Source organism: Homo sapiens, chromosome 12, assembly GCF_000001405.40.
Source record: "Homo sapiens chromosome 12, GRCh38.p14 Primary Assembly".
Classification (NCBI taxonomy): Eukaryota; Metazoa; Chordata; class Mammalia; order Primates; family Hominidae; genus Homo; species Homo sapiens.
In genome coordinates, this window is record NC_000012.12 from 76,342,556 (window position 1) to 76,368,843 (window position 26,288).

Sequence of the window (26,288 nt, forward strand, 5' to 3'; positions counted from 1 at the left end):
TGGTGAGTCTGCATAAGGGAGAGCCAGACCCTGCACTGTGGAAATTCCCCCGAGAATGAAGCACTGCTTGCTGGCACTCTTTCACAGCTCACACCTCTTTGCAGCCTGCCTAGTGAGAATGTTCTCATATTTCCAGAACTGGTGAGACAATCCTAAGCCAGGTGTAGCTAAGAGAATATTCCTTTTTTTCAGGTGTATATCTTTTATTGTCAAAGTTCTACTTATTTGTCAGGGTGTCTCACAGTTTTTCTTCCATGCTGATCTTGCATTTCCTTAGATCAGGGTCCTTATTACTTAATTACTATTTGGAGAGTATTCTCTATGTGCTTGCACTAGATCTATTTTAAAATCTTATTTCATTTTTATATAGGTAATATTCAATTGGTTCAAAAATCAAAATGACATTGAGAAATCTTCCTACCTCCTCCTGATTGATTGGTATCTCCTCCCCCACCCCTCCAAATCATTGCCTCTCTTTGTGAATCCATCTAGCTTTTAGGCTGTTAGCAATCTTTTGCTATGACAAAGTTGCAATTAATAACTATATATACATACATATACATGGTTTGTGAGCTGTAGTTTTTGTTTTCTCTGCTAAGCTGTGAAGATGAGAAAGACATATTCTACTTCTTTTGGGAGAGGAGAGGCAATTTCTGATAAAAGTTCAGGCTCAAACTGCATTCTTCTTCCCCTTCCCTTTTAGTCTGAAATGTGGATAACATGGCAATTCCTGTACAACATGATTAAATAGCATCCCTGGCTGAATCAGCTCAAGGATGTTCAAGTTTAACTATTGCTTTGAAAATAAAAATGGCTCATGCTGGCCCAATGAGAAAAAATAAGAAGGTCTATAAAGGTTATTGGAGAAAATGTGTTTGTGGGAGGTGGATCGACATGTAACTTAATAATAAAAAGAAACGCAGTTGAGAAGTTAATGCGTATTTGTCTTTTCCCTCCCATGGTGTAGCAGATTGTATTTTCCAAAGATAGCTGCCTCAATATATCCCATCCCACATGCTCTTATGATGTGACACTGACACTGTTCCCATTGAGTGGTGGGGCCTGCATTCTTCTCCTTTGAACCTCAGGTGATGCTTATGACTGCTCAAACAACAGAATGCAGTGAAAGTTGTCCAGTTAAGCCCAGTCAACCCCCAGAACCACAAGTAAATAACATAATGATTCAAAAAAACTAAGTTTTGGGATTATTCATTATGCAGCAGTAAAAAATAGAAACATGATCTTGATTTTGATTTTAACTGGCCTTTACATTTTCCTTGGTCTTGATTCTTTAATTTTCATTCAGATTTTACTGTAATTTTGTCTGTTCCTTTTCTTGGGTGGGGATGGTCTGTTCTTATTGCAGGTCACTTCACATCCTTTGTGGTAGAGGGTATAAGTATAATGTAATTACATTTTTAAAAGTGCTTTCCTATCTAACTCAGTGATGTAAACTCTCTAGTGTTATTCTGTAAATAAGGATAAATCCATGAAAGTTTTACCACCATTTTTGAGGGGTTTCTTTTAATGAAAAGGAAAAGGATTACTTTGTGTAGATCTGTTCTACACTTTCTGCTCCTCCCCAAAATAGATCCTTTGCCCATGAAAGTTTATAGAAATTATAATCTCATCTATGAGGACCAAATGACAGATTCATTCAACAAATAGGCCCTCAATAGGCATCTATTGTGTGTAAGATATTAGACCAAGTGCCAAACGTACAAAGACCCAGTCCTACCTCAACAGGGCTCCTGGACTAGTGACTATACCTATTAAATGCTTATCATATGCAAAGCACTGGGCATGTCTGGAAGTCATTAAATGCTTACAGTAATGGAGGAGTGTTTTAAACAACCACAAAAAAAGCAAAGTGACCAAATGACCTGAAAGGCAATTAAAAAAAAAATGAAAAAAATTATGCAGCAGTTTTAAAGTTCATTCATCCATGAATTCAGCAAAAGAGCTAATTTATTCTCTCCATATTCACAGAAACAAAATAATGCATCATATAGCATAAATGTTTAAAAAATCAGAATTACATTTAATATAAAAAATTTTGATATTATAGTTTTTAAAATACATTAGTCAACACTTATTCAACTATAATTAAAGTTTTTTTTCTTCAGTCAATCCCAAGTAAGAATCTGTTGAATAAGTAAACTGGAAACATGTATTTAAAGGAATGAATTAAAGATAACACTGTTTTGTTCAACAAGCACTTCTGAATACTTGGAGTAAATACAGCACTGTTTTGGGTATTACAGAGAACTGATAAAGGTAGAAAACACTGTCCTTGTCCATGATAAGATGCATCATATTATTTACATTGACAAGTTTTTAAAATATGAACATTTGTAAATGAAATAAATTAGAAATAAAAATTAAAAATAAAACAGAAATAAACATTAGAAATAAAAATTGTCAAATTATTTGTTACTGTGGAACTCTGGCTATGCACCAGATACAAGAAAAACCAGTAAATACATGACATATCCTTACAAGCTCTTGGGGTCAGGAGAAAATCAAAGTATTAATTGCATATCCTTTCTAGTATTAACCTTTTACTACAGAAATGAAAGAGTTAACAATGCACAGTTATATTTCAGGTAACATATATTCAAAGGTATATCAAAGGTGAAAATCTATCCAAGTTTTCCAAATGAAGTGGCAGTAAACCAATGACCACATAAAAGTAAAAATTAATTTTATGCTTTTTGAAAAAAAATTTGAGCCTTTTACTCACTGCTAATTTAATTTTATGCTTTTTGAAAAAAATAATTTGAGCCTTTTACTCAGCTTTACAAAGTATGAGTAGGGAAAATTAATGCAAATAATGTATTCAATATTAAAAACAATTAGAATAAGCCCACCCAAATCAGAGATTAAATGATTCTATGAACTAAACATGTAACGATGAAGGAGGGCTGGAGTGAAAAAGATACAGGAGAGTAAAAAGGAGCTATAAAGAAAAACCCTCCCCTAAACACATAGGCTAACACAGAGCTGAGACACAGAGGCATAAAATAGGGAAAAAACAGACACACTTAGCCAAATCTTGGCTTCCCCTCTAGATTTGTTCCATAAAGTAATTTAATATTTGTATCTGGTCTGGTGACCTTAGTGTGCTTCTTCTAAAGACTTTTAAAGTTACGCTATTTTCCTAAGTAGACTGAACTGACTTTAGAACCAGTGGTCACATGACTGCTTTACTTGGCTTGAGTTAGATGAAAAGTTTGGTTAATTAAAAACTTCTGATGTTATAGTTCATCTTCTGAATCTTGATTGTGAACTTTCTGAGGGTGTCTCTTAACAGTGATTACCATGTCAATGGTTAATATTTTTGTCAAACACTGAAGAACTGAAGTTAGTAGCTGGTATTTACCCATTACTGATTCCAAACCTGTCTGACTGCTTACCAAGGGTTGATTGGTTTGCAGTGCATGGACAGCTCTTATATATGTATGTGGAAAGCTGTACTTTCCTGTTTTAGATTTATAAAGGACTTTGGGAATGCCTAAAAGTGCATTAGCTATTATCATACTAACCATGGTTTCTTCTGATTGATGGCATTTTTTGGCATAATTGAGAAGATAGTAATGTAACAAGATCTCAAAATTACCACCTACTGGCAAAACACAACCAGCTGGCATAGATGAGGAAAGGTAACTCTGGGAAGTACCCATATTCGGTAACTTACAGCTCACTGGTAACATGCTTCCCTTTCTAGTAATATTTGTGACCTGTAAATTTTCGTAAGAAATTTCTATTCTATTTCCCCTTGTTGAATAAGCAGTGGAATTGTTCTTGAGTAATGGTTCATAATAATCAGTTAGCCTGTTTCTTTCCAAAGACAAACATGTCAGCGTTTCAACTGTTTGGAATGTATCTGTTGGTGTCAGTGTGGGGGTTGAATACGGAATATATGTTTCTAATTCTACATCTGGAATTACCAAATTAGAATGTACTTTTAAATATGTTTGAGTTTTTTCCAATGCATCTTTGTTCTCTGCAACTGTGTCCTGATAAGGCCTTTGTATTGAGCCATTACCAGGATCTGGTGCTTGATAACTTTCTCCACTGTTCTTATAAATAAAAAGACTTGAAGTGCCATTTTGGTCATTGGTTTGTGTCATGTAATTTAGATCAAGGTCTTTAAATAATTGCCGAAGCATTTTAAGTGCTCCATGTAAAGCATCCTCATGTTGTTCAATGAGACCATGCACTGGTCCACAAAGAACTATAGAGTGTGGTATAAATGCACATGTGCTTATCAAGCCTAGATGAACATATCTTTTGGATCTAAGGATAAGAGGTTTACAAAATTTCACCAAAGCAGTGTTAGGTATTTCACACTGCGAAAAGGCCTGTGGTGGTACAAATGGAGAAAGACCAATGATCCTCCGGATAAGAGAAACTTCTTCTGATGATAAACACTCAACCACTGATATGCCATTCACCCCTGCATAATAACTAACTAAATCTGGTTGTTTCACACTAGATATGAGCAATTTTACATTCTGACTATGTAGATGTTTCATTATTGCTTTTGTCTTTTCCATAATCCAAAATTGAGATGTCTGAAACTGTGCTTCTGAATTTAGAATAAACTCTGATCCAGAAGTGGAAAAAAGAGGCTGAATGGTTTCTGTTACTATCACCATTCGCATGTCACCATCTGCTGGGCGGTACACAGAAAAATCTTTCTGAAGCACAAGACCAGCTATGATCCTGGAATCTGAAACAGGAAGGCCAGTGACACCAACATTCAACTCTACAAAATGGTCATCCACTAACTCAAATACACCAATCCCACTTTTACAAGTCATACACTTGAAAAAGTAGTCACACATCAACTGTGAAATAAATTTATGATTATTTCTTCCCACTCTTCCACAAAAGTATGCTTCTAAGAGCAACTCTAAAGAGCTCCTACACAATGTTCTCTCTTTAGCAGACGAAAAGATAGACAAAAAGTGTCTACTTAGGTACTGGTCCATAATACCGTCTAATATTTGTGTCTGAAACGTTAGGAGAGCCTGGGAAATAAATTTCCACCGAGAACAATTTTTCCAATGCCTTCCATGGGTTTGAATGTTTTCACACATCAAAGGATCCTTTTCTCTGTCTGTGATTGCATGAAGTCCTCTAAGCAAATGGCAAAGAAAGATAATAAATGTTTTTGCACCATCTCCTGTTTTTTTGAGATGACTGGAAACACAGTCCACTATCATCCTGTACAAAAAAGAAATAAAGCAACTCATTTTCAGAAGGCTGGCTTCCCACATCTTAAAACCATGTTTACACAGCCATAAGCATAAAATGAGAATATTGTTCCTTGGATACATCCTTAGTTTTTTCCTTTCTTGGAAAAAACTCTGCTCTATTCCAAGATTCCACCGTTGGGTGGAGTGGGGAGAAGTGGTCTTGAGAATTGGTAAGATTTGGGGTGCAGGAGTGTTCCCTTGGGCAGGGCTCTAATTCCGAGCATACAGCGGTTTCACCCGAGGTCAGTCTTTCTAAGTACGCATCGCCTCAGGATGGGACAAGAGCTCCACAGAGGCTGCCTGGGGTGCCCGGCTACGGGTTAGCGTGTGGGACGCGGGTACCTGGCTATGGGATGCTCTAAGTGTAGCGCCTCCAGGAGGCGGCCTCCATTCCGGCTGAGAAGCACCTCGCCAGTGGGCTTCGTACACAAAACTTGCCGTCCCTCGGGCCCCACGCAGCAGCTCACGATGGCTTCCAGCACCTCGGCCACCTGCAACGCCGCCTTCACAGACCCTGCAGCGGCCATAGAACTTAACATATCTGGGCCGCTTCCCCTTTTTGACCAGCTTGCAGAACACCCGGGCCGACCGAAAACAGGGGTGGGAACGGCCGGAAACGGAATAGGCGGGGAGAAAACCCGGAAGCCAGGAGTCGAAGCCGGGGTAGCACGGCTTCTTGGTTGGGCGAGAGGGCTGCCCTTCTGTCCGCCTGGTGGAAAAGCCCTGCAGCTTTGCCAGGTGGGGTGAGCTGGCCCGTTGTACGCGAAGGCAGAAAAAACAGACTAGGATTTCCAGCAGCTGTGCCTGGAGCGGCAACCCTAAGCCCCTCCCCGGCTCCCTAGGTGAATTCATCTCCCTCCAGTGGCGTCCGCTGCCCCCAAATCCCTTAGTCTCCCGAGAAACTTTCTTCCTAAGTCAACACGGTAGTGGGGCCTGCGTGAAGGAGAGGGCACCCCGGTTGGAACTCTGCTGGCTTTCATCCCCTGCCAGAAGCTGCTTTTTCCGGGGCAAAACCTCTGCCTTGGATTCACGCATGTTCCTGTCCACATTCCCCACGAGTTGCTCTCCTTACCATAACGGAAATAATTTGTAGATGCAGGACAGGTGAGGAGAGCCTGGCCACAGCCATGAATTGCAGGCTTTATGTCTGCTGCAGAGGCTTTACCACATTTCCTAGACTCAGGTATCACAATAAAACTCTAGACACCACAAATATATTAAGCAGAAATGATGCGAAGTCTCTATTTTTTGAGATGGACTCCCGCTCTGTCGCCCAGGCTGGAGTGCAGTGGCGCAATCTCGGCTGACTGCAACCTCCGCCTCCCGGGCTCAAGCGATTCCCGTGCCTCAGCCTCTCAAGTAGCTGGGATTACAGGCATACGCCACTGTGCCCCGCCAATATTTGTATTTTTAGTAGAGATGGGGATGTCACCATGTTGACCAGGCTGGTCTCGAACTCATGACCTGAATGATCCACCTGCCACGGCCTTTCAGAGTGTTGGGATTACAGGCATGAGCCGCTGTGCAGATTTAAATCCATTAATCACGTCGGTGATCAACAGTATGCTTTAAAACACATGGCCAAGGATTATTGTATATAACCCAAAGACAGAAAATACTGTCTCTTATAACATTTTTTTTGTTTTTTAAGAGATGAAGTTTCACTCTGCCGCCCAGGCTGGAGTGCAGTGGCGAGATCATAGCTTACTGCAGCTCCGCATTCCTGAGCTCGTGATCCTCCTGTCTTAGCCTTCAAGTCGCTTTGTGCCTCACTACGCCTGGTTATTTTCTCTTTTAGTAGAGACAGGGTCTCCCTGTGTTGCCCAGGCTGATCTTGAATTCCTGGCCTCAAGTGATCCTCCCAACTTGGCCTTCCAAAGTTTTAGGATTACAGGCATGAGCCACCTTGCCTGGCCTAAAACACAGGCACTTGAGAGCATGGGCTTTGGATTCAGACCTGGATTTGCTCTGTCATTTCCTTACCTGTGGCATTCACCAAGTAACCTCTTTGATCTCTGCTTTTCTCATCTTTAAAAACAATGGGCCTGCCGCAGTGGCTCATGGCTGTAATTCCAGGACTTTGGGAGGCCGAGGTGGGAGATCACAGGAGGCCGAGAGTTCAAGACCAGCATGGCCAACATAGCAAAATCCCGTCTCTACTAAAAATACAAAAATTAGCTGGGCATGGTGGTGCATGCTTGTAATCCCAGCTACTCTGGAGGCTGAGGTATGAGAATAATTTGAACTCGGGAAGGGAGGTTGCAGTGAGCCAAGATTGCACCACTGCACTCCAGCCTGGGCGACAGAGCGAGACCTTGTCTCAAAACAAAACAATCCCCGCCAAAAAAACCAGTGGAGATAACATATACAAAATAAAAATCTCAAGAGGTTTTGAGTAGGTGGAGAATGTTCACTAAACACTTTGCATAGTGCCTGGCATAGTTAGCACTCAACAGATATTTATATTACACCTGTTAGAGGAAAAGGGTCCCAATCCAGACCCCAAGAGAGGGTTCTTGGATCTCATGCAAGAAAGAATTCAGGACGAGTCCATAAAGTGAAAGCAAGTTTATTAAGAAAGAGGAATAAAAGAATGGTTACTCCATAGGCAAAGCAGCCCCAAGGGCTGCTGGTTGCCGATTTTTATGGTTATTTCTTGATGATATGCTAAACAAGGAGTGGATTATTTATGCCTCCCCTCTTTAGGCCATATAGGGTAACTTCCTGACATTGCCATGGCATTTGTAAACTGTCTTTGGTGCTGGTGGGAGTATAGCAGTGAGGACAACCAGAGGTCACTCTCGTGGCCATCTTGGTTTTGGTGGGTTTTGGCTGGCTTCTTTACTGCAACCTGTTTTATCAGCAAGGTCTTTATGACCTGTATCTTGTGCCAACCTCCTATCTCATCCTGTGACTTAGAATGCCTTAATCATCTGGGAATGCAGCCTAGATCTTAGCCTCATTTTACCCAGCTCCTATTCAAGATGGAGTTGCTCTGGTTCAGATGCCTCTGACGCACCCACCAAATTACTGGAGTTGCTCTGGTTCAGATGCCTCTGACGCACCCACCAAATTACTGTGGTAGGTCACCACTCTCCTGGTTTATTATTCCCACAAGTGATATTTTGTGAGATGCAGAAGATTCAACTAGCATAATGGCACAACATACATCATCTAGAGTCGAAGCATGCCAGTATTAGCAAGAAAATGATCTTGTAGATGTTTCACGAGGTTGGACAATGAGGGGCCGTTTTCCTTAATCCTTATTGCTATGAACAAGATAGGAGGAACCGGCAGGCCCTCCCATCTTTTTCTCCCCAATTAATAAAACCAAACCAAATGACAGCCAGAAGCAACTGGACCCTGAGCAGAGAGCAAGAATGGGAAGAAAGGAGGGTGGGGGAAAACCAGAGAGGAATGATGTCTCGGAACTCATCTGATGTTGACTCAGTATGGACTAATAGGTGATCTGAGGGGGGAAAAAAAAACCCTTTCATATGGATTTCGTATATGTTTAATAGTAGGGTTTTTTTGTGGTGCTACTCATAACAAAGGGGTTACATTACTCAATATAGATTCAAGCAGTGGATTATATTCCTGACATTTAGAAGTGAAGTGCTATTAGAGTTCTATTTAAGTGTACCACGGAGATACAGATTCAAACTTGTGCTTTTACTCTTAAAGTAAGAGTCGGCTACCACTCTTACTCCGCAGCTTTTGGAGACTTTCAACCTCTCTGAGCCTCAGCATCTTCATGTATAAAATCTGGCTAACGTCCACCTAAGGTTCTCATAGAGGATTCGAGAAGAATGAATATAAGGCACCAAGCAAAGCATACTTCAGGGATTCTCACTGTTGAATCCCTTTCAAGCCCTTTGCCATCCTTTGCAGCTATCCCTATCCCCACAAAAGGGGGGATTAAAACAAATTAGCAATAATTTAGTCATCATATTGTATTAAAAGTCACTTGATCACCGTTTGCTCTTTTTAAAAATTTTATTTAGAAGCCTACTTGTAGAAGTTAGCATAATTTTACAGATTATTAGAAAAATTCTTTTCTTTCTGCAAACAGTTATAATAGGTTAGGAATAATAGATTAGAAATGTACTACATTACAAAACAGTGGCCTATAACTATCTGTACATTTACTGTGCACCTTAAGGAAAAGAATTTGACAGTGTGCTGTACTTACACTGCAGGTAACATATTTTTATTCTATCACACAAAACTGACCAGTGGTAGTGCTTGAATTTATGAATGGCCATTAAACAGAACATTTAAACTCAGATGTATATTTAGCATGCTAAAAAGTGAAAAAAATTTCAACTGAAGTTCTGTGGCTCATCAGTTCAAATGTTTCATGGCATTTTTTTTCTTTAAGTGAAAAATTTTGATACTGTAAAACAGTTTTACATAATAAATGCAAAAAGATAACATTTTCTAAATTTTTAGAAAGAATATTCACATTCATTTTGTCATGGGTTTCACGTGGCTCTTCTAAATATATTAATCATATTAATAAGACACTGGTCCTATACAATTTCAACAGTCCATCTTCAATTAAAAACTAACAAAAATAAACAGTATGTAAAGAGTAACAAAAAGTAAATTAAATATACTAAACTCACACAACAGGTAGAATAAAATGAAACCAAATTACATAATGGCAGGTTATACATTTTAAAGAATCTCTTTCCACTTAGTCAAATAAGATAGAAATTGAAATGTAAACTTACTGATTTCTGTGGGATTTTCCCCACTGGTTCAAATTGGAAAATTTGATATAAATCTAATATTTTATTTCTGTACATTTAATATGATTCAATATAATCTGCAGTCTCATGTATGGCTTATCAATAATGCCATCATCACTGTATGTCAAACAACCTCACTGCTTACTAGAAATGCTAAACACTGGAAAAAATGGAATTTTATACATTTGTTTTCTTAAATTTTGACAGATATTCTTCAGAAAGTTAAAACTGCCTTCCACAAAATTTTGTGTGTATATGGCACAAGGTGACAGCCAAAAAGTGTGATTCCATCGAAAAGGCACTGTTAACAATACTCAGAATAATCTGACAAGTCTACATCAATGTCTGAGTAAAGAATAGGTAAATAGACAAACCCCTATAAAAGATAGTATTATTGTTTAAATATACTATAGCTATATAAAAAGAAAGTAACACACAGAAATGACCCTTTTATGACAAGCCTATAAACACCTTGAATCACATTATAGTTCTGTAACACAAAAAATGACAAAAAATATTTTCTTAAAGGCACAAAAGCATGAATATTAAATGAGAGTTGTATTTTACAAGGCCAACTTTTCAATGGAATGCGGTTACCAACTGAGCTGTGACAAAGAGTACACTGTACCTTTATAAGTGATATAAAACAAAAAAGTACTAACATGAAATACAAATAAAATATCTATTGCTGTAACTTAACATTTCACATGCCCTATTTATTGTTGTTGTTTTTTTTTTTTTTTTACATGTCCTGGGCCAGCTACATTTTACTAAATGGTGGATGATGGCATAGTACATTTAACAGCTAAAAAGAAAATGCACATGTGAATAATTATTACTCAATTAAATTTTCATGTAGGAAAATAAAATCTTGGTAAATGAAAAAAACTGGTCATAAGGTCATAAATCCTAGAAACCCTCATGAGGCTCTCAGACAACTGGGAACCGTTTACGGTCCATGTGTGAAGGAAGATTAATTTCAGGTAAATAACATTCAAAGTCAATTACATATATGGCTACAAAGTTAGTAATTATGTGTTATAAAGATTCATATAACTAAGCCTAGTACAAGCACTGATCTAAAATTAAGCCACCAATTCCTGAGTTTTGTGTTCAGTTCATAGAAAGAGACTCATACAACTAAAAGCATAATAAGAGGACTATTAGATTAGATGCATGCTTTTAGTGTATAAAGAACAGTCATGAATAACTCTGCTCTTTCTTAAGAAATAGTTTTTGACTCTTTGGGTAAGAACCCATAACATTTGCTCTAAAAAGAAATTTTAAAAATAAAGAACACAACTACCTATTTAGTCTTAGAAGATACCCATACAAATAAAATATTATTTGGACCAAATGAAAACAACATACACGTGGATAAGACCAAAGTCCTAAGAGGTGGGTCACCAGTACAAAATGTTAACAAGGTTTACTGATGAAATGATTTTTGTGATAAGCCAATCAATTTGTATGTAATTAACTAATTTAAACCATAAAAAAGATCAAATTGTACAATATTTACAGAATATCATATATCAATGAATAGGCAGAGTGTAACAGAATGTGAATACAAAAATTATATTGACAAATATAAAATATAACCAAAAACCCATTTGTTCTAATATCATGAAAATACTGGGTATAGGTAGATCTTATTTAAGCTTTTATCAATTTAAAACATCATTTCACATGTACATATGGAATACAGCATTATTTTGCCAAGAAAACATGGGAAATGGTTCTTCACAGAAACCTAAGGATACTTAAGATAGCTATATTGGTTAGGGAAAAAAGCAGGCTCTTTTTATCATTTTGATTCTCATAATTTACCAATCAATGTATTTATTTACCAATCTTGTATTTATCATGGCATAAACGATTATAATTTTACTATTTCACAGCCTCCTCCTACTGAAAGGCAAATGTGGTCAGGGCAATTATTCTCTCTGACCTTCATTTTCATTAAAAAAACATTTCAAAATCTATGCTTTCAGGATTCTAAGACATATTTTAGAACAACATATTCCTAAACTGAACTACCTTGGCAAAAATTGCTTTCAAGGAATATAAATATTTACGTAAAAACACAAAATCAAAATATTAAACTGAAGAAACAAACAAAAAAATTTGCCTTAGCCTGAACAATAGGAATCTTAAAGAATTGTGGTTTTGCCACAGAAAGAAGTTACTAAGAAGAGAGGAGGATAATAAAAAAATTAAACTTCAGAACTTGATACTCTTCGTAGATACTCAACTTATTACACGTTTTACAGAAACCAATTTTAATGCACACATAAAGGCCACCACAAAGTGTCTTTTCTTATTGCCTCTTTTTGGCTTTTGAAGTAAAATACTGGTTATATTTTTTTATATTCTACTTATTCACTGAACACACTGGAGTCTAAAGCTAAAATAAGTTTTCATAATGAAAAAACATAAATTATCAGCACTTCAAATGCTCTATAAACATCTCTAGAATTTGGCCTATGTTATGAACCAGCTGACTTAAGAAAAACAAAAATAAGACAAAAGGACAGCAATCAATTTTGACCACACTTTTTTCAGCAAGTGCTTAAGGTGGTATTATAATCAATCCAATTAATTGCACACCAGTGTTTTTATACTGATATACACGTAAGTATATATATTTACCTGCATCTACAAATATTAAATTCTAGGGGTTAAAAAAAACTTATGTAAACTTTTAAAAAAGCAATTTGCCATTTATCTCTCTCGATGTATTCATTTTGACCATTCATACTTTTTCTTTCTTTCTAAGAAGATAATTGAGCTGAGTGCTTTGCAAATGATTTTAACAGTAGTGTATTGAATTAATTATGTCTATTATTCCATCATTTCTCAATCTGTAATTCCTTACTGATAAAACTTTTGTGCCTGTTTTATGAAGAAAATAGATTACATATATTTATAAGATTGATAGCATTTTTTGTTATGAACAATGTTAACATTATATCTCAGAACATACTATAGAATACAAAGACTACTGTCAGGTAGGAGTACATAAGAGACAATTGTGTATACATGTGGGTTTATTATACTCATATGTAGACACATTCTCACAAAAGCTAGAAATGTCCTGGCACTTAACACATAGCTCACTTTAATAATCAAATAGGATAGCTCTTGTTTCAGTGTGAAGATAAAAGATACGAAAAGTCAATACCTCTACATTTATCTCCTAGGTTTTTTTGTTTTCGGAATATTGTGATTTTTAATAAAGACCAAACCAACTTGAACACTGGTCCCAGGCCAAATCAGATCTTTCTAGTTCACTGATTCAATGGTAGAGAACTTCTACTTGAACATGAAGTTTATTATGACTTGAAGCAAAATCAGGAGGAAAATGATGAAGTAGTCTTTTTGTTGCAGAAAATAATCCGTGGCCGGTGTGCTTGAAACTAAATGATTTCGAAGAGCCATAATATTTCTATAAAAATAAGCAACAACAAATTTTGTAATGATTTGCCAGAAATGTTGGCATAGAGCCCACAATTTGATATTAAACAGTCACAGAGCATTTAATGTTAATAATTTTTAGTTGCTGGGTCATGGGGTGGTATGTAGGGGTGGGGGGGGGCGGGGTCTGGGACTGCAAAGAGGAATACTTAAGGGCTCAGGGAGTAAATATTTACCCAATGTTATGGATGTATTTCAATATTTCAACTGATGCATTCCAATGAAATAACAGCCATGCACAGAGGGGACTATAGAGGCCTTTGTTAACTGACTTTCTCAGAAACAATCCCACCTCCACATGCAACCCAGCTACATTCCTAGCATGCTATAGGAGTAAAATAAAGTGATTCCAATTCTACCCTTACAGAGAAAAAACAACCTCTCCTTCCTTCCCAAGTATTTTAGTGCTGGAGGAATTTCGTAAGTGTCAAACATCAGGTGATAGAGGCTAAACATTGTATTTTAGCTTAGCTAAATGTTATAAAAATATGAAGTCTGCATATGATTTCCCATATAACAGGATTCTTAACTACTCCTTGGTCTCAAATGAATAGTCAGTGTCATTATATTATTACCTTTTAATTTCTTCCTGTGTTTGTTTTATAGATTCGATGGAACTCTGAATGTCTCCCAGTTCTATTCCTTTCTTTCTTCTTGTACTTGGTTTTACTGATTGAGCTAAAAAGACATTTAGAATGAAGTTGAAACTATAAAAATAATCTACAGTTCAATTTAATGTGTCTCATGTAATAAAAATTTTCCTGGGCATTTGTTTTTGTAGCCTAGAGATTAGCATAGTAATATGAATACTCTGCACTTTTGAAGTTTCAAACACATCATTGCAATACTAGAACACTACAAATATATTTAAAGTACTACACATTAGTTGAATTTTGGATGGCACCAGTTTTTTTAACTAATTAAAACAGAAATAATTCATTAGAAATACATATTAACTTGAGGAAGGTATTACTCTCTTCTGTTCCTTGCCCATTTGCCTACCTCTGAAGTCAGCTTCTTGAGCCCTTTTTTCCAATTTTTTATTGTGAGTGTTTAGTTACCTAAACTTTAAATCCCTTTCGACACCACTTCTGCAAATTTTTACTGCCAATCAGCAAGCTGTACATGTTTTTCCAAATTCCCTACATATGCATTCCTTCCTTTCCATTTTTGTTCAGATCCTACTTAACCTCTCTGCAAGTGTCAGCTTTCTCATTTTAAAAATAGGGATAATAATACCAGACTTCACAGGGTTGTTGTAAGGTGTATTTAACATACAGTCTGGCACAAATTAATTACTCAATAAATGTCTGCTGATACATTATAGTAATATAGTAAAGTGGATGACAGGGTGAATTAAGGAGCCAAAAAATCTGCATATATAACATACATATACCTACTTATGGGGTATGTGACCTTAGGCAGGTTAACTTGTGTCTCAGTTTCTTTTCTCGTAAAATGGGAATAACAACAATACAACCAATACTCTCTTCTAACACACTGGTATGCCACATGACTCCTGCTTTTAAACCTTTATTCGGTTCATTCCTCTAACTACTCTAGTATGTTACCCCTACCCCACTCTCCAAGCCTAGATTGCTATAATCCATTAGAAATCTTAATAATTCATCAGGATTCTAAGAACTTTCCCTCAAACTGAATTGAGCTCCCTCTCCTTTAAACTCTTTATCACTTGTCATCTAATTTCTTAGTAATCTACCATTTATTCACTTCTAGTGTTATCTTTATAGGTTAAAATGAGCTCCCTAGTTCAGTGTAAACTCAGTAGAGATTATGGCTTAAAGTTTTTTTTTTTTTGTCATGTCACAAACATCACTTTAATCCTTTCATGATTATATCTCAATGTAGTTCAAGATACTTTACACATTATCTGACTCGAATAAGAATGGAGTACAATTTAAGCTAGCAGTTGCTAAGTTTTATATTTTTATTGTCTGTCACTTCCAAACACTACAGTAATTTATTCTGGAAATGAAAAACATTTTTGAAGCATGGAACTGAGTTCAAAGCTCAAAAAATGCTTCTGAATTCAATCTAGGGAACCATCAGCAATTTTTCAGAGGTTAACAAGGCATAAGAGGTAGCTACTACTAGAGTGTGGTTCTTTTTTTTTTTTTTTTTTTTTTGAGACAGGGTCTCACTTTGTCACCCAGGCTGGAGTGCAGTAGTGTGATCTCGGTTCAGTGCATCTTCCATCTCCGGGGTTCAAGCAATTCTCGTGTCTCAGCCTCCCAAGTAGCTGGGATTACAGGTGTGCACCACCGCACCTGGCTAATTTTTTCATATTTTTAGTAGAGACGGGGTTTCCCCATGTTAGCCAGGCTGGTCTTGAACTTTTGGCCTCAAGTGATCTGCCCACCTCGGCGTCCCAAAGTACTGGGATTACAGGCATGAGCCACCACACCCTGCCTAGAGTGTGGTTTTTATTTAGATGTCTCCCCTTTTTCATTTTCTGTTTCTTTACCTTGCGTCCTGGTCTCACAACTTATCTATGATCTAGAATTGCTTTTGTATCTCAACCCTGCCCCGACCAAAACTCACATAACTTGAGTTAATATGAAAAACCATATTCATATCAAATTGTGTAGTAATTAAAAAGTTAGACTCTCATTAGTCTGCAATAAATATTTTTACCTTCACTTCCAGAGGAGTCTTGAATGTCAGGTTCTGGGGAGGAATAGCCTTTTGCTACTTTCTTCTGTTGCCTGGTTGGCTTATGTTTCATTTTGGGGACGCTAACCTAAAGAAAAAAATAACTATTTTGTGAATTTGCACTGTATTTTGGACTAAAGACCAACTGTGTACAATTGTCAAAATTATCTGCACATAGGCATGATATTCAGAAATAAAGACAATGATGAAATAGTCTAATTCAAATTTAACAAATGTGATGCACTTATGCAATCAAATGATCTTATTTTAATAGGAAGTACTTTGGCACAAATGTCAAAAAGTAAAATACACAATGAAGAGTATACCCAGTCTCTCTCCCACTAAATAGGTACCCATCACTATTAGTTTATATCCAGGGATATTATTATGTATACATAAACAAATATGAATATAGATCCCCCTACCTCTGACTGCACCAGCTATTATTATTCTCTAGTAGAATGTTAAATAATAGAATGTTAAATAATAGTGTGTATAAATCATATTTATTTTGTTCCCAATGTTAGAAACATTCCCACTGAACAATGCTGGGTTTCCAGTAAAACGGTTTATTTACTTTTAATCACATCTGGGTAGTACAGAAAGTATCTTATAATAAATAAAAATGATACCATTATTTTGTAGAGCATTATTTAAACTTACTGAAAGGATTGAAGTGGATGCACAAGATTCAAAAGTATATGAAACCATCAACTATGACTAAATTTTCCTTAGAATAATAACTTTGGACTCTATCCTATTAATAGATTTGTAATTTTGGTGTTCAGTATTAAACTTAAAAACCTAAATGCAAGAGAAGAAACTAGAATCAGAAAGACAAGATGTATTAGTCAGTTTTTATGCTCCTGATAAAGACATTCCCGAGACTGGGATGAAAAGGAGGTTTAATTTGACTTATGGTTCCACATGTCTGCAGAGGTCGCAAAATCATGGCAGATGGCAAAAGGCACTTCTTACATTGTGGCAGCAAGAGAGAATGAGGAAGATGCAAAAGTGGAAACCTCTGATAAAACCATCAGATCTCGTGAGACTTATTCACTACCACGAGAACAATATGGGGGAAACTGCCCCTATGATTCAAATGATCTCCCACTAAGTCCCTCCCACAACACGTGGTAATTATGGGAGTACAATTCAAGGTGAGATCCCACCAAGTCCCTCCCACAACACGTGGGAATTATGGGAGTACAATTCAAGATGAGATTTGGGTGAGGACACAGAGCCAAATCGTATCATTCTACCCTGGCCCCTCCAAATCTCATGTCCTCACATCTCAAAACCAATCATGCCTTCCCAACAGTCCCCCAAAGTCTTAATTCATTTCAGCATTAACCCAAAAGTCCACAGTCCAAAATCTCATCTGAGACAAGGCAAGTCCCTTCTGCCTATGAGCCTGTAAAATGAAAAGCAAGCTAGTTACTTTCTAGATACAATGGGGGTACAGGCATTGGGTAAATACAACTGTTCCAAATGGGAGAAATTTGGAAACAAAGGGGTCATAGGGCCCATGCAAGTCTGAGATCCAGTGGGGCAGTCAAATTTTAAAGCTCCAAAATTTTAAAGCTCCAAAATGATCTCCTTTGACTCCACGTTTCATATCCAGATCATGCTGATGCAAGAGGTAGGTTCCCATAGTCTTGGGCAGCTCCACCCTTGTGGCTCTGCAGGGTATCCCCTCCTGGCTGCTTTCATGGGCTGGCGCTGAGTGTCTGCGGCTTTTCCAGGTGCACAGTGCAAGCTGTTGGTGGATCTACCATTCTGGGGTCTAGAGGACGGTGGCCCGCTTCTCACAGCTCCACTAGGCAGTGCCCCAGTAGGGACTCTGTGGGGGGCTCCGACCCCAGATTTCCCTTCTGCACTGTGCTAGCAGAGGTTCTTCATGAGGGCCGTGCCCCTGCAGCAATCTTTTTCCTGGGTATCCAGGCGTTTCCATACATCTTCTGAAATCGAGGTGGAGGTTCCCAAACCTCAATTCTTGACTTCTGTGCACCACAGGCTCAACACCATGTGGAAGCTGCCAAGGTTTGGGGCTTGCACCCTCTGAAACCATGGGCAGAGCTGTAACTTGGCCCCTTTTAGCAATGGCTGAAGCGGCTGGGACGTAGGGCACCAAGTCCCTAGGCTGCACACAGCATGGGAACCCTGGGCCCAGCCCATGAAACCATTTTTTCCTCCTAGGCTTCCAGGTTGGTGAAGGGTGGGGCTGCCATGAAGACCTGTGACATGCCCTGGAGACATTTTCCCCATTTTCTTGGGGATTAACATTCGGCTCCTTGTTACTAATGCAAATTTCTGCAGCCAGCTGAATTTCTCCTGAAAAAATGGGTTTTTCTTTTCTACTGCATCGTCAGGCTGCAAATTTTCCAAACTTCTATGTTCTGTTTCCCTTTTAAAACAGACTGCTTTTAACAGCACCCAAGTCACCTCTTCAATGTCTTGCTGCTTAGAAATTTCTTCTGCCAGATACCCTAAATCATCTCCTTCAGGTTCAAAGTTCCACAAATCTCTATGTCAGGGACAAAATGCCACCAGCCTCTTTGCTAAAGCATAACAAGAGTCACCTTTGCTCCAGTTCCCAACAAGTTCCTCATCTCCATCTGAGACCACCTCAGCCTGGACCTTGTTTTTCACATCACTATCAACATTTTTGTCAAAGCCAGTCAACAAGTCTCTAGGAGGTTCCAAACTTTCCCACATTTTCCTGTCTTCTTCTGAGCCCTCCAAACTGTTGCAACCTCTGCCTGATACCCAGTTCCAAAGTCGCTTCCACATTTCTGGGTATCTTTTCAGCAGCATCCCACTCTAATTTACTATATTAGTCCATATTTACGCTGCTGATAAAGACATACCCGAGATGGGAAGAAAAGGAGGCTTAAATTTGATGTTCAGTTCCACATGACTTGGGAGGTCTATAATCATGGCAGAGGGTGAAAGGCCCCCTTTCTTACATGGCAGCAGCAAAAGAGAATGAGAAAGATGCAAAAGCGGAAACCCCTGATAAAACCAGCAGATCTCATGAGACTTATTCACTACCATGAGAACAGCATGGGGGAAACCACCCCCTTGATTCAAATTATCTCCCTCCGGGTCCCTCCCACAGCATGTGGAAATTATGGGAGTACAATTCAAGATGAGATTTGGATGGGAACATAGAGCCAAACCCTATCACAAGGTAATGTTCATGCTTGGAAAAACAGAGAACCAGTGGTCAACAACTCGTTCTTTCTTGTTCAGCATTGTAACAAGAAGTATTCTCAATTACTTATTTCTTGAAATAATTTTGCAAAATCTTATTCAGGTATTTAAAATTAAAATTTCTATAATATGTAATAAGCAGGCAGGTTTGGCCCATACTCCTACTTCAAATGCTGGAGGCTTAAAATTTTGTAACATTTAAAATAGAAATCCACATTTCTAGAGTAGGTTCAAATTGGAGACTGATGAACACTAGTGAGAAGCTTATTTAAAATAACAAGGCAGAGACACAACAAAAAAAATTTCAGGCCAATATTCCTGATGAACATCGATGCAAAAATCCTCAATAAAATACCGTCAAACCGAATCCAGCACATCAAAAAGCTGATCCACCAAGATCAAGTCGGTTTCATCCTTGGGATGCAAGGCGGGTTCAACATATGCAAATCAATAAACGTAATCCATCACATAAACAGAACCAATGACAAAAACCACATGATTATCTCAACAGATGCCGAAAAGGCCTTTAATAAAATTCAACACCCTTCATGCTAAAAACTCTCAATAAAGTAGTTATCTATGGAACGTATCTCAAAATAATAAGAGCTATTTATGACAAACCCACAGCCGATATCATACTGAGTGGGCAAAAGCTGGAAGCATTCTCTTTGAAAACCAGCACAAGACAAGGATGCCCTCTCTCACCACTCCTATTCAACATAGTACTGGAAGTTCTGGCCAGGGCAATCAGGCAAGAGAAAGAAATAGAGGGTATTCAAATAGGAGAAGAGGAAGTCAAATTGTCTCTGTTTGCAGATGACATGACTGTATATTTAGAAAACCCCATCGTCTCAGCCCAAAATCTCCTTAAGCTGATAAGCAACTTCAGCAAAGTCTCAGGATACAAAAAAATCAATGTGCAAAAATCACAAGCATTCTTATACACCAATAATAGACAGAGAGCCAAATCATGAGTGAACTCCCATTCACAATTGCTACAAAGAGAATAAAATACCTGGGAATACAACTTACAAGGGATGTGAAGGACCTGTTCAAGGATAACTACAAACCACTACTCAGGGAAATAAGAGAGGACACAAACAAATGGAAAAACATTCCATCCTCATGGATAGGAAGAATCAATATCGTGAAAATGGCCATACGGCCATAAGTAATTTACAGATTCAGTGCTATACCCCTCAAGCTACCACTGACTTTCTTCACAGAATTAGAAAAAACTACTTTAAATTTCACATGGAACCAAAAAAGAGCCCATATAGCCAAGACAATCCTAAGCAAAACGAACAAAGCTGGAGGCATCATGCTACCTGATTTCAAACTATACTACAAGGCTACAGTAACCAAAACAGATATATAGACCGATGGAACAGAACAGAGGCCTCAGAAATAACGCCACACATCTACAACCATCTGATCTTGGACAAACCTGACACAAACTAACAATGGGGAAAGGATTCCCTATTTAATAAACAGGGTTGGGAAAACTGGCTAGCCATATGCAGAAAACTGAAACTGGTTTCCTTCCTTACACCTTATACAAAAATTAACTCAAGATGGATTAAAGACTTAAACATAAGACCTAAAACCATAAAAACGCAGAAGAAAACCTAGGAAATGCCATTCAGGACACAGGCATGGGCAAAGACTTCATGACTAAAACACCAAAAGCAATGGCAACAAAAGCCAAAATTGACAAATGGGATCTAATTAAACTAAAGAGCTTCTGCACAGCAAAAGAGTCTGTCATCAGAGTGAACAGGCAACCTACAGAATGGGAGAAAATGTTTGCCATCTATCCATCTGACAAAGGCTAATATCCAGAATCTACAAGGAACTTAAACAAATTTACGAGAAAAAAACAACCCCATCAAAAAGTGGGCAAAGGATATGAACAGACACTTTTCAAAAGAAGACATTTATGCAGCCAACAAACACATGAAAAAAAATAATCACTGGTCCTTAGAGCAATGCAAATCAAAACCACAATGAGATACCGTCTCATGCCAGTCAGAATGGCAATTATTAAAAAGTCAGGAAACAACAGATGCTGGAGAGGATGTGGAGAAATAGGAACACTTTTACACTGTTGGTGGGAGGGTAAATTAGTTCAACCATTGTGGAAGACAGTGTGGTGATTCCTCAAGGATCTAGAACTGGAAATAACATTTGACCCAGTGATCCCATTACTGGGTATATACCGAAGGATTATAAATCATTCTACTATAAAGACACATGCACACGTATGTTTATTTTGGCACTATTCACAATAGCAAAGACTTGGAACCAACCCAAATGCCCATCAGTGATAGATTGGATAAAGAAAATCTGGCATATATACACCATGGAATACTATGCAGCCATAAAAAAGGATGACTTAATGTCCTTTGCAGGGACATGGATGAAGCTGGAAACCATCATTCTCAGCAAACTAACACAGGAACAGAAAACCAAATACCGCATGTTCTTACTCATAAGTGGGAGCTGAACAATGACAACACATGGACACAGGCAGGGGAACATCACACACCGGGACCTGTCGGTGGGTGGGAGGCTAGGGGAGGGATAGCATTAGGAGAAATACCTAATGTAGATGACAGGTTGATGGGTGCAGCAAACCACCATGGCACGTGTCTACCTATGTAACAAACCTGCACATTCTGTGCTTGTATCCCAGAACTTAAAGTATAATTAAAATAAATAAATTAATTAATTGACCATGGATGTCTGGCTTGACATTTAGACACTCAATTCTACTCCATTGGTCAATATGCCTGTTCTTACATAAGTACCACGTTCCTTTGATTACTATAGCTTTATAGTAAGTTTTGAAATCGAAAAGTGAGAGTCCTCTTTATACTTCTTTTTCAAAATTGTTTTGACTATTTGTGGCCCCTTGCAATTCCATGTGAATTTGAAAATCTGCTTTCCCATTTTTGCAAAAAAATAGGCTTGGAATATTGACATGGATTGTGGCGAATCTGTAGGTTGCTTTTAGTAGTACAGTTACGTCCTTATTTTTTTGAGACAGGGTCTCACTCTGTCTCCCAGGCTGGAGTATAGTAGTGCTGTCACTACACTTGACCTCTCTGGGCTCACGTGATCCTCCCATCTCAGCTTCCCGAGTAGCTGAGACTACAGGCGTGTGCCACCATGCCCAGCTGATTTTTCTATTTTTTGTAGAGACAGAGTTTTGCCATGTTGTCCAGTCTGGTCTCAAGCAGTCCCTCCGCCTCGGCCTCCCAAAGTGCTGAGGTTACAGGCATGAGCCACTGCGCCTGGCCAAAATCTTAACAATATTAACCTTTTCTACCTGAGAACATGAGGTGTCTTTCCCTTTATTTAGATGTTCTTTAATTTCTTTAGCAATGTTTTATAGTTTTCACTGTAGAAGTCTTCCAGCTTCTTGGTTAAATTTGTTCTTTTAGATGCTATTATTGAATTGCTTTCTTAATTTCAAGTGTTCACTGTTAGAAACACAACTGATTTTTGTGTGTTGATCTTATACCCTGCAATTTTTCTTAAGTTCATTAGCTCCAGTAGCTTTCTATGGATTCTTTGGGATTTTCTATATATAGGATAATGTCACCTGTTAATTAGAGATAGTTTTACTTGTTTCCAATTTTGATGACTTCTCTTTTTTTTCTTGCTCTGGCTAGAACTTCCAGTACAATGGTAAGTAGGAGTGGTGAAAGTGGGAATGTTTGTCTTGTTCCTGATGTTACGGGGAAGGTTTTCAACCTGTCACCACTGAATCTACTATTTGTGGGTTTTTCATAAATGCCCTTAATGATGTTGAGGAAGTCTCTTCTCTTCCTAGATTTATGAGGTCTTTCTTTTGTTTATGAAAGGGTGATGGATTTTGTCAAATGCCTTTTCTATGCCAATTGAAATGACCATGTGATTTTCCCCCCTCTTAATGTGATATATTACATTGATTTTCTTACGTGGAACCAACCTTGCATTTCTGGAATAAATTCCACTTGGTCATGGTGTATAATCTTTCTAATATGCTACTGAATTTTGTTTGCTAGTATTTTGTTAAGGATGTATGAATCTTATTTATAAAGGTTATTGTTTGTAACTTTATTTTCTTGTGATGTCTTTATCTGGCTTTGGCATTAGGGTAATGTTAGCCTCAGAGAATAAGTTAGGAAATGTTCCCATCTCTTCTATTTTTTAGAGTTTGAGAAGGATTTGTGCTTGTTCTTTAAAGTTTTGTAGAATTCACCAGTGCAGCCACCTGAACTTGAATTTTTCTTTGGAGGTTTTTGGTTACTGATTCAATCTCTTTATTGTTACAGCTCTATTGAGATTTTCTATTTCTTTTTGAGTCAGTTTATGTAATTTGTGAGTTTCTAGGGATTTGTTGGCATACAATTATTCATAGCATTCTCTCATAATCCTATTTCTTTATGATTGGTAGTAACATCCCCACTTTAATTTCTGATTTTAGTCATTTGTGTCTTCTTTCTTGCTTCCTTAGCCTAGCTGATGGTTTATCGATTTTGTTGATTTTTATCAAAGAGCAACTTTTGGTTTGGTTTCACAAATTCTATTTTTTTCCTACTCTCTATTTTGTTTATCTGTACTCTAATCTTCATTATTTTCTTCTTCTGCTAGCTTTGGGTTTAGTTTTTTCTTCTTTTTCCAGTTTCTCACGGAATGAAGTAAGGTTATTGATTTGAGATCTCTCTTAATGTAGATGTTCACAGATATATATTTTCCTTACCTTTGCTGCATCTCGTAAGTTTTGTTATACTATATATTTGTTTTCACTTGTCTAAGTATTATCTAATTTCCCTTGTGTTTTTCTTTGACCCATTGAGTTTGTTTTGTTTTGTTTTGTTTGTTTCTGAGACAAAGTCTCACTCTGTTGCCCAGGCTGGAGTGCAATGGTGTGATCTTGGCTCACTACAACCTCCGTCTCCCAGGTTCACATGATTCTCATGCCTCAACCAACTGAGTAGCTGGGATTTACTGAGACACGTCATATGGCATAACATATGGTCTATCCTGGAGAATGTTCCACGTACACTTGAGAAGAATGTGTATTCTTCCATGGTTGGGTGGATTGTTCTATGTGTCTGCTAGGTCAAGTTGGTTTACAGTGTGGTTCAAGTTAATCCCTTTCCTCCTTATTGATCTTCTATCTAGAGGTTCTACCCATTATTAAAAGTAGTTTACTGAATTCTTCATCTATTGTTATAGAGCTGTTTCTATCTTCCAATTCTGTCAGTTTGCTTTGTATATTTTGGGGCTTTGTTGATTGGTGTGTGTGTGTGTGTGTGTGTGTGTGTATGAATTGACCCTTTTATCAATACGCCATGTTCTTTTTGTCTCTTGTAACAATTTTTGACTTAAAGTCTATTTAGTCTGACAGTATAACCACCTCAGTTTTCCTTTGGTTACTATTGGCCACCTCATTTTTCCTTTGGTTACTATTTGCACATAATATTTTTTTCCAAACTTTCATTTTTCTCTATTTCTGCCTATGGATCTAAAGTGAATCTCTTGTACACAGCAAATAGTTGGGTCATGTTTATTTTAATCAATTTTTACAATCTGTCTTTTGCTCGGAGAGTTTAATCTATTTACATTTTAAAATAACTACTGATAAGAACTTACCTCTGATTTTGCTATTTTCTATACGTCATATACGTTTTTTGTTTCTTATTTACTCCATTACTGCCTGCTTTTGTGTTTGCTTCCTGTGTAAACTGTTTCAATTCCCTTCTCATTTTCTTTTGTGTGTATTTTTTTAGATATTTCATTTGTGGTTACTATGGGGATGACATTTACACCTACCTCTACAACAATCTAGTTTGAGTTGATACCAACTTAACTTCAGTAGTACATAAAAACTTTCCTCCTATACAGCTCCATCCTCTCTGCTTTTATGTTGTAATGAACTATATCTTTACACATTGTATGTCTGATAACAAAGATATGTAATTAAATTATTTTTCATTCATTTATTTTTTAAGTCCTGCAGGAAATAAAAAGTGGACTTACAAACTAAAATTACAATAGCACTAGCTTTTATATTTGTCCAACTATTTACTAAAAATCTTTATTTCTTCATACAGCTTTGAGTTTCATTTTATTACATATTTACCTTAGCATTTTTTTGTAGGGCAGGTCTAGTGGTAATGAACTCCCTCAGCTTTTATCTGGGAATGTCTTAATTTCTCCCCCATTTTCGAATGACAGTTTTGCCAGATACAGAATTCTTGATTGACAAGTTTTTGCTTCTACCACTTTAAATATGTCATCTCATTGCCTTCTGGCCCCCATGGTTTCTATAAGATATCGGTTGTTAATCCTATGGATGATCCCCAGTGTATGTGATAAGTTGTTTCTCTCTGCTGATTTTAAGACTCTCTTTGGCTTTTGACAGTTTGTTGTGGTGTGGGTCTCTCTGAGATCATCCTACTTGGAGTTTGTTGAGCTTCTTGAATTTGTAGATTTATATCTTCCACCAAATTTGGGGATTGGGGGGTCTTCTTTCCTTAAATATTCTTCATTCATTTTTCTGTCTTCTCTTTGTGGAACTCCCATAATGCAATGATAACCCACTTGATGGTGTCCCATGGGTCCTTTAGGCTCTGTTCACCTCACTTCATTCATTTTTCTTTCTCCTCCTCAGACTGGATAATTTTTATGGTCTTATCTCTAAGTTTCCTGATCCTGTCTTATGCTTGCTTATATCTGCTTTTGAATACCTCTAGTGAATTTTCATTTTTGTTATACTTTTCAGCTCCAGAATTTGTTTGGCTCCCTTGAATAATTTGTCTTTATTGATTTTCTCAGAGATGAGTGCCTGTGTAAGTCCTTCAGGTAGTATTCTGACAGGTTAGGACAGACATACACAATTGTGTATGAG

The 26,288-nt window shown here is 37.6% G+C and overlaps 2 protein-coding genes across 21 annotated transcripts in view, besides 3 other annotated features; both read right to left on the minus strand.

Annotated features, from left to right (window-relative positions):
- Positions 1,919 to 5,860, minus strand: BBS10 (Bardet-Biedl syndrome 10). The gene is made up of 2 exons (NM_024685.4): positions 5,607 to 5,860; positions 1,919 to 5,232 (listed from the first exon to the last, which is right to left on the minus strand). The coding sequence occupies exons 1-2, from the start codon at positions 5,801 to 5,803 to the stop codon at positions 3,258 to 3,260; spliced, it is 2,172 nt and encodes a 723-aa protein (NP_078961.3). The 5' UTR covers positions 5,804 to 5,860; the 3' UTR covers positions 1,919 to 3,257.
- Positions 5,166 to 6,115: an enhancer, noted in NCBI's record as "H3K27ac-H3K4me1 hESC enhancer chr12:76741501-76742450 (GRCh37/hg19 assembly coordinates)". NCBI's record gives its function as "activates a minimal SCP1, AML or CMV promoter by ChIP-STARR-seq in primed H9 embryonic stem cells {active_cell/tissue: H9 hESC(primed)}" and the evidence as "EXISTENCE:reporter gene assay evidence [ECO:0000049][PMID:30033119]".
- Positions 6,116 to 7,065: an enhancer, noted in NCBI's record as "H3K27ac-H3K4me1 hESC enhancer chr12:76742451-76743400 (GRCh37/hg19 assembly coordinates)". NCBI's record gives its function as "activates a minimal SCP1, AML or CMV promoter by ChIP-STARR-seq in primed H9 embryonic stem cells {active_cell/tissue: H9 hESC(primed)}" and the evidence as "EXISTENCE:reporter gene assay evidence [ECO:0000049][PMID:30033119]".
- Positions 6,212 to 6,261: an enhancer, noted in NCBI's record as "active region_6675". NCBI's record gives its function as "activates an Ori minimal core promoter by ATAC-STARR-seq in GM12878 lymphoblastoid cells {active_cell/tissue: GM12878}" and the evidence as "EXISTENCE:reporter gene assay evidence [ECO:0000049][PMID:35858748]".
- OSBPL8 (oxysterol binding protein like 8) overlaps positions 9,242 to 26,288 on the minus strand; it is a 207,975-nt gene continuing 190,928 nt past the window's right edge. For all 20 annotated transcript variants that reach the window (NM_001003712.2, NM_001319653.2, NM_020841.5 and 17 more), the window contains 3 exons: positions 16,151 to 16,256; positions 14,071 to 14,173; positions 9,242 to 13,466 (listed from right to left, as the gene is read on the minus strand). In NM_001003712.2, coding sequence (NP_001003712.1) covers positions 13,334 to 13,466; positions 14,071 to 14,173; positions 16,151 to 16,256 — 342 coding nt within the window. In that variant the 3' untranslated portion in view covers positions 9,242 to 13,333. The remainder of the gene's footprint in view (positions 13,467 to 14,070; positions 14,174 to 16,150; positions 16,257 to 26,288) is intronic.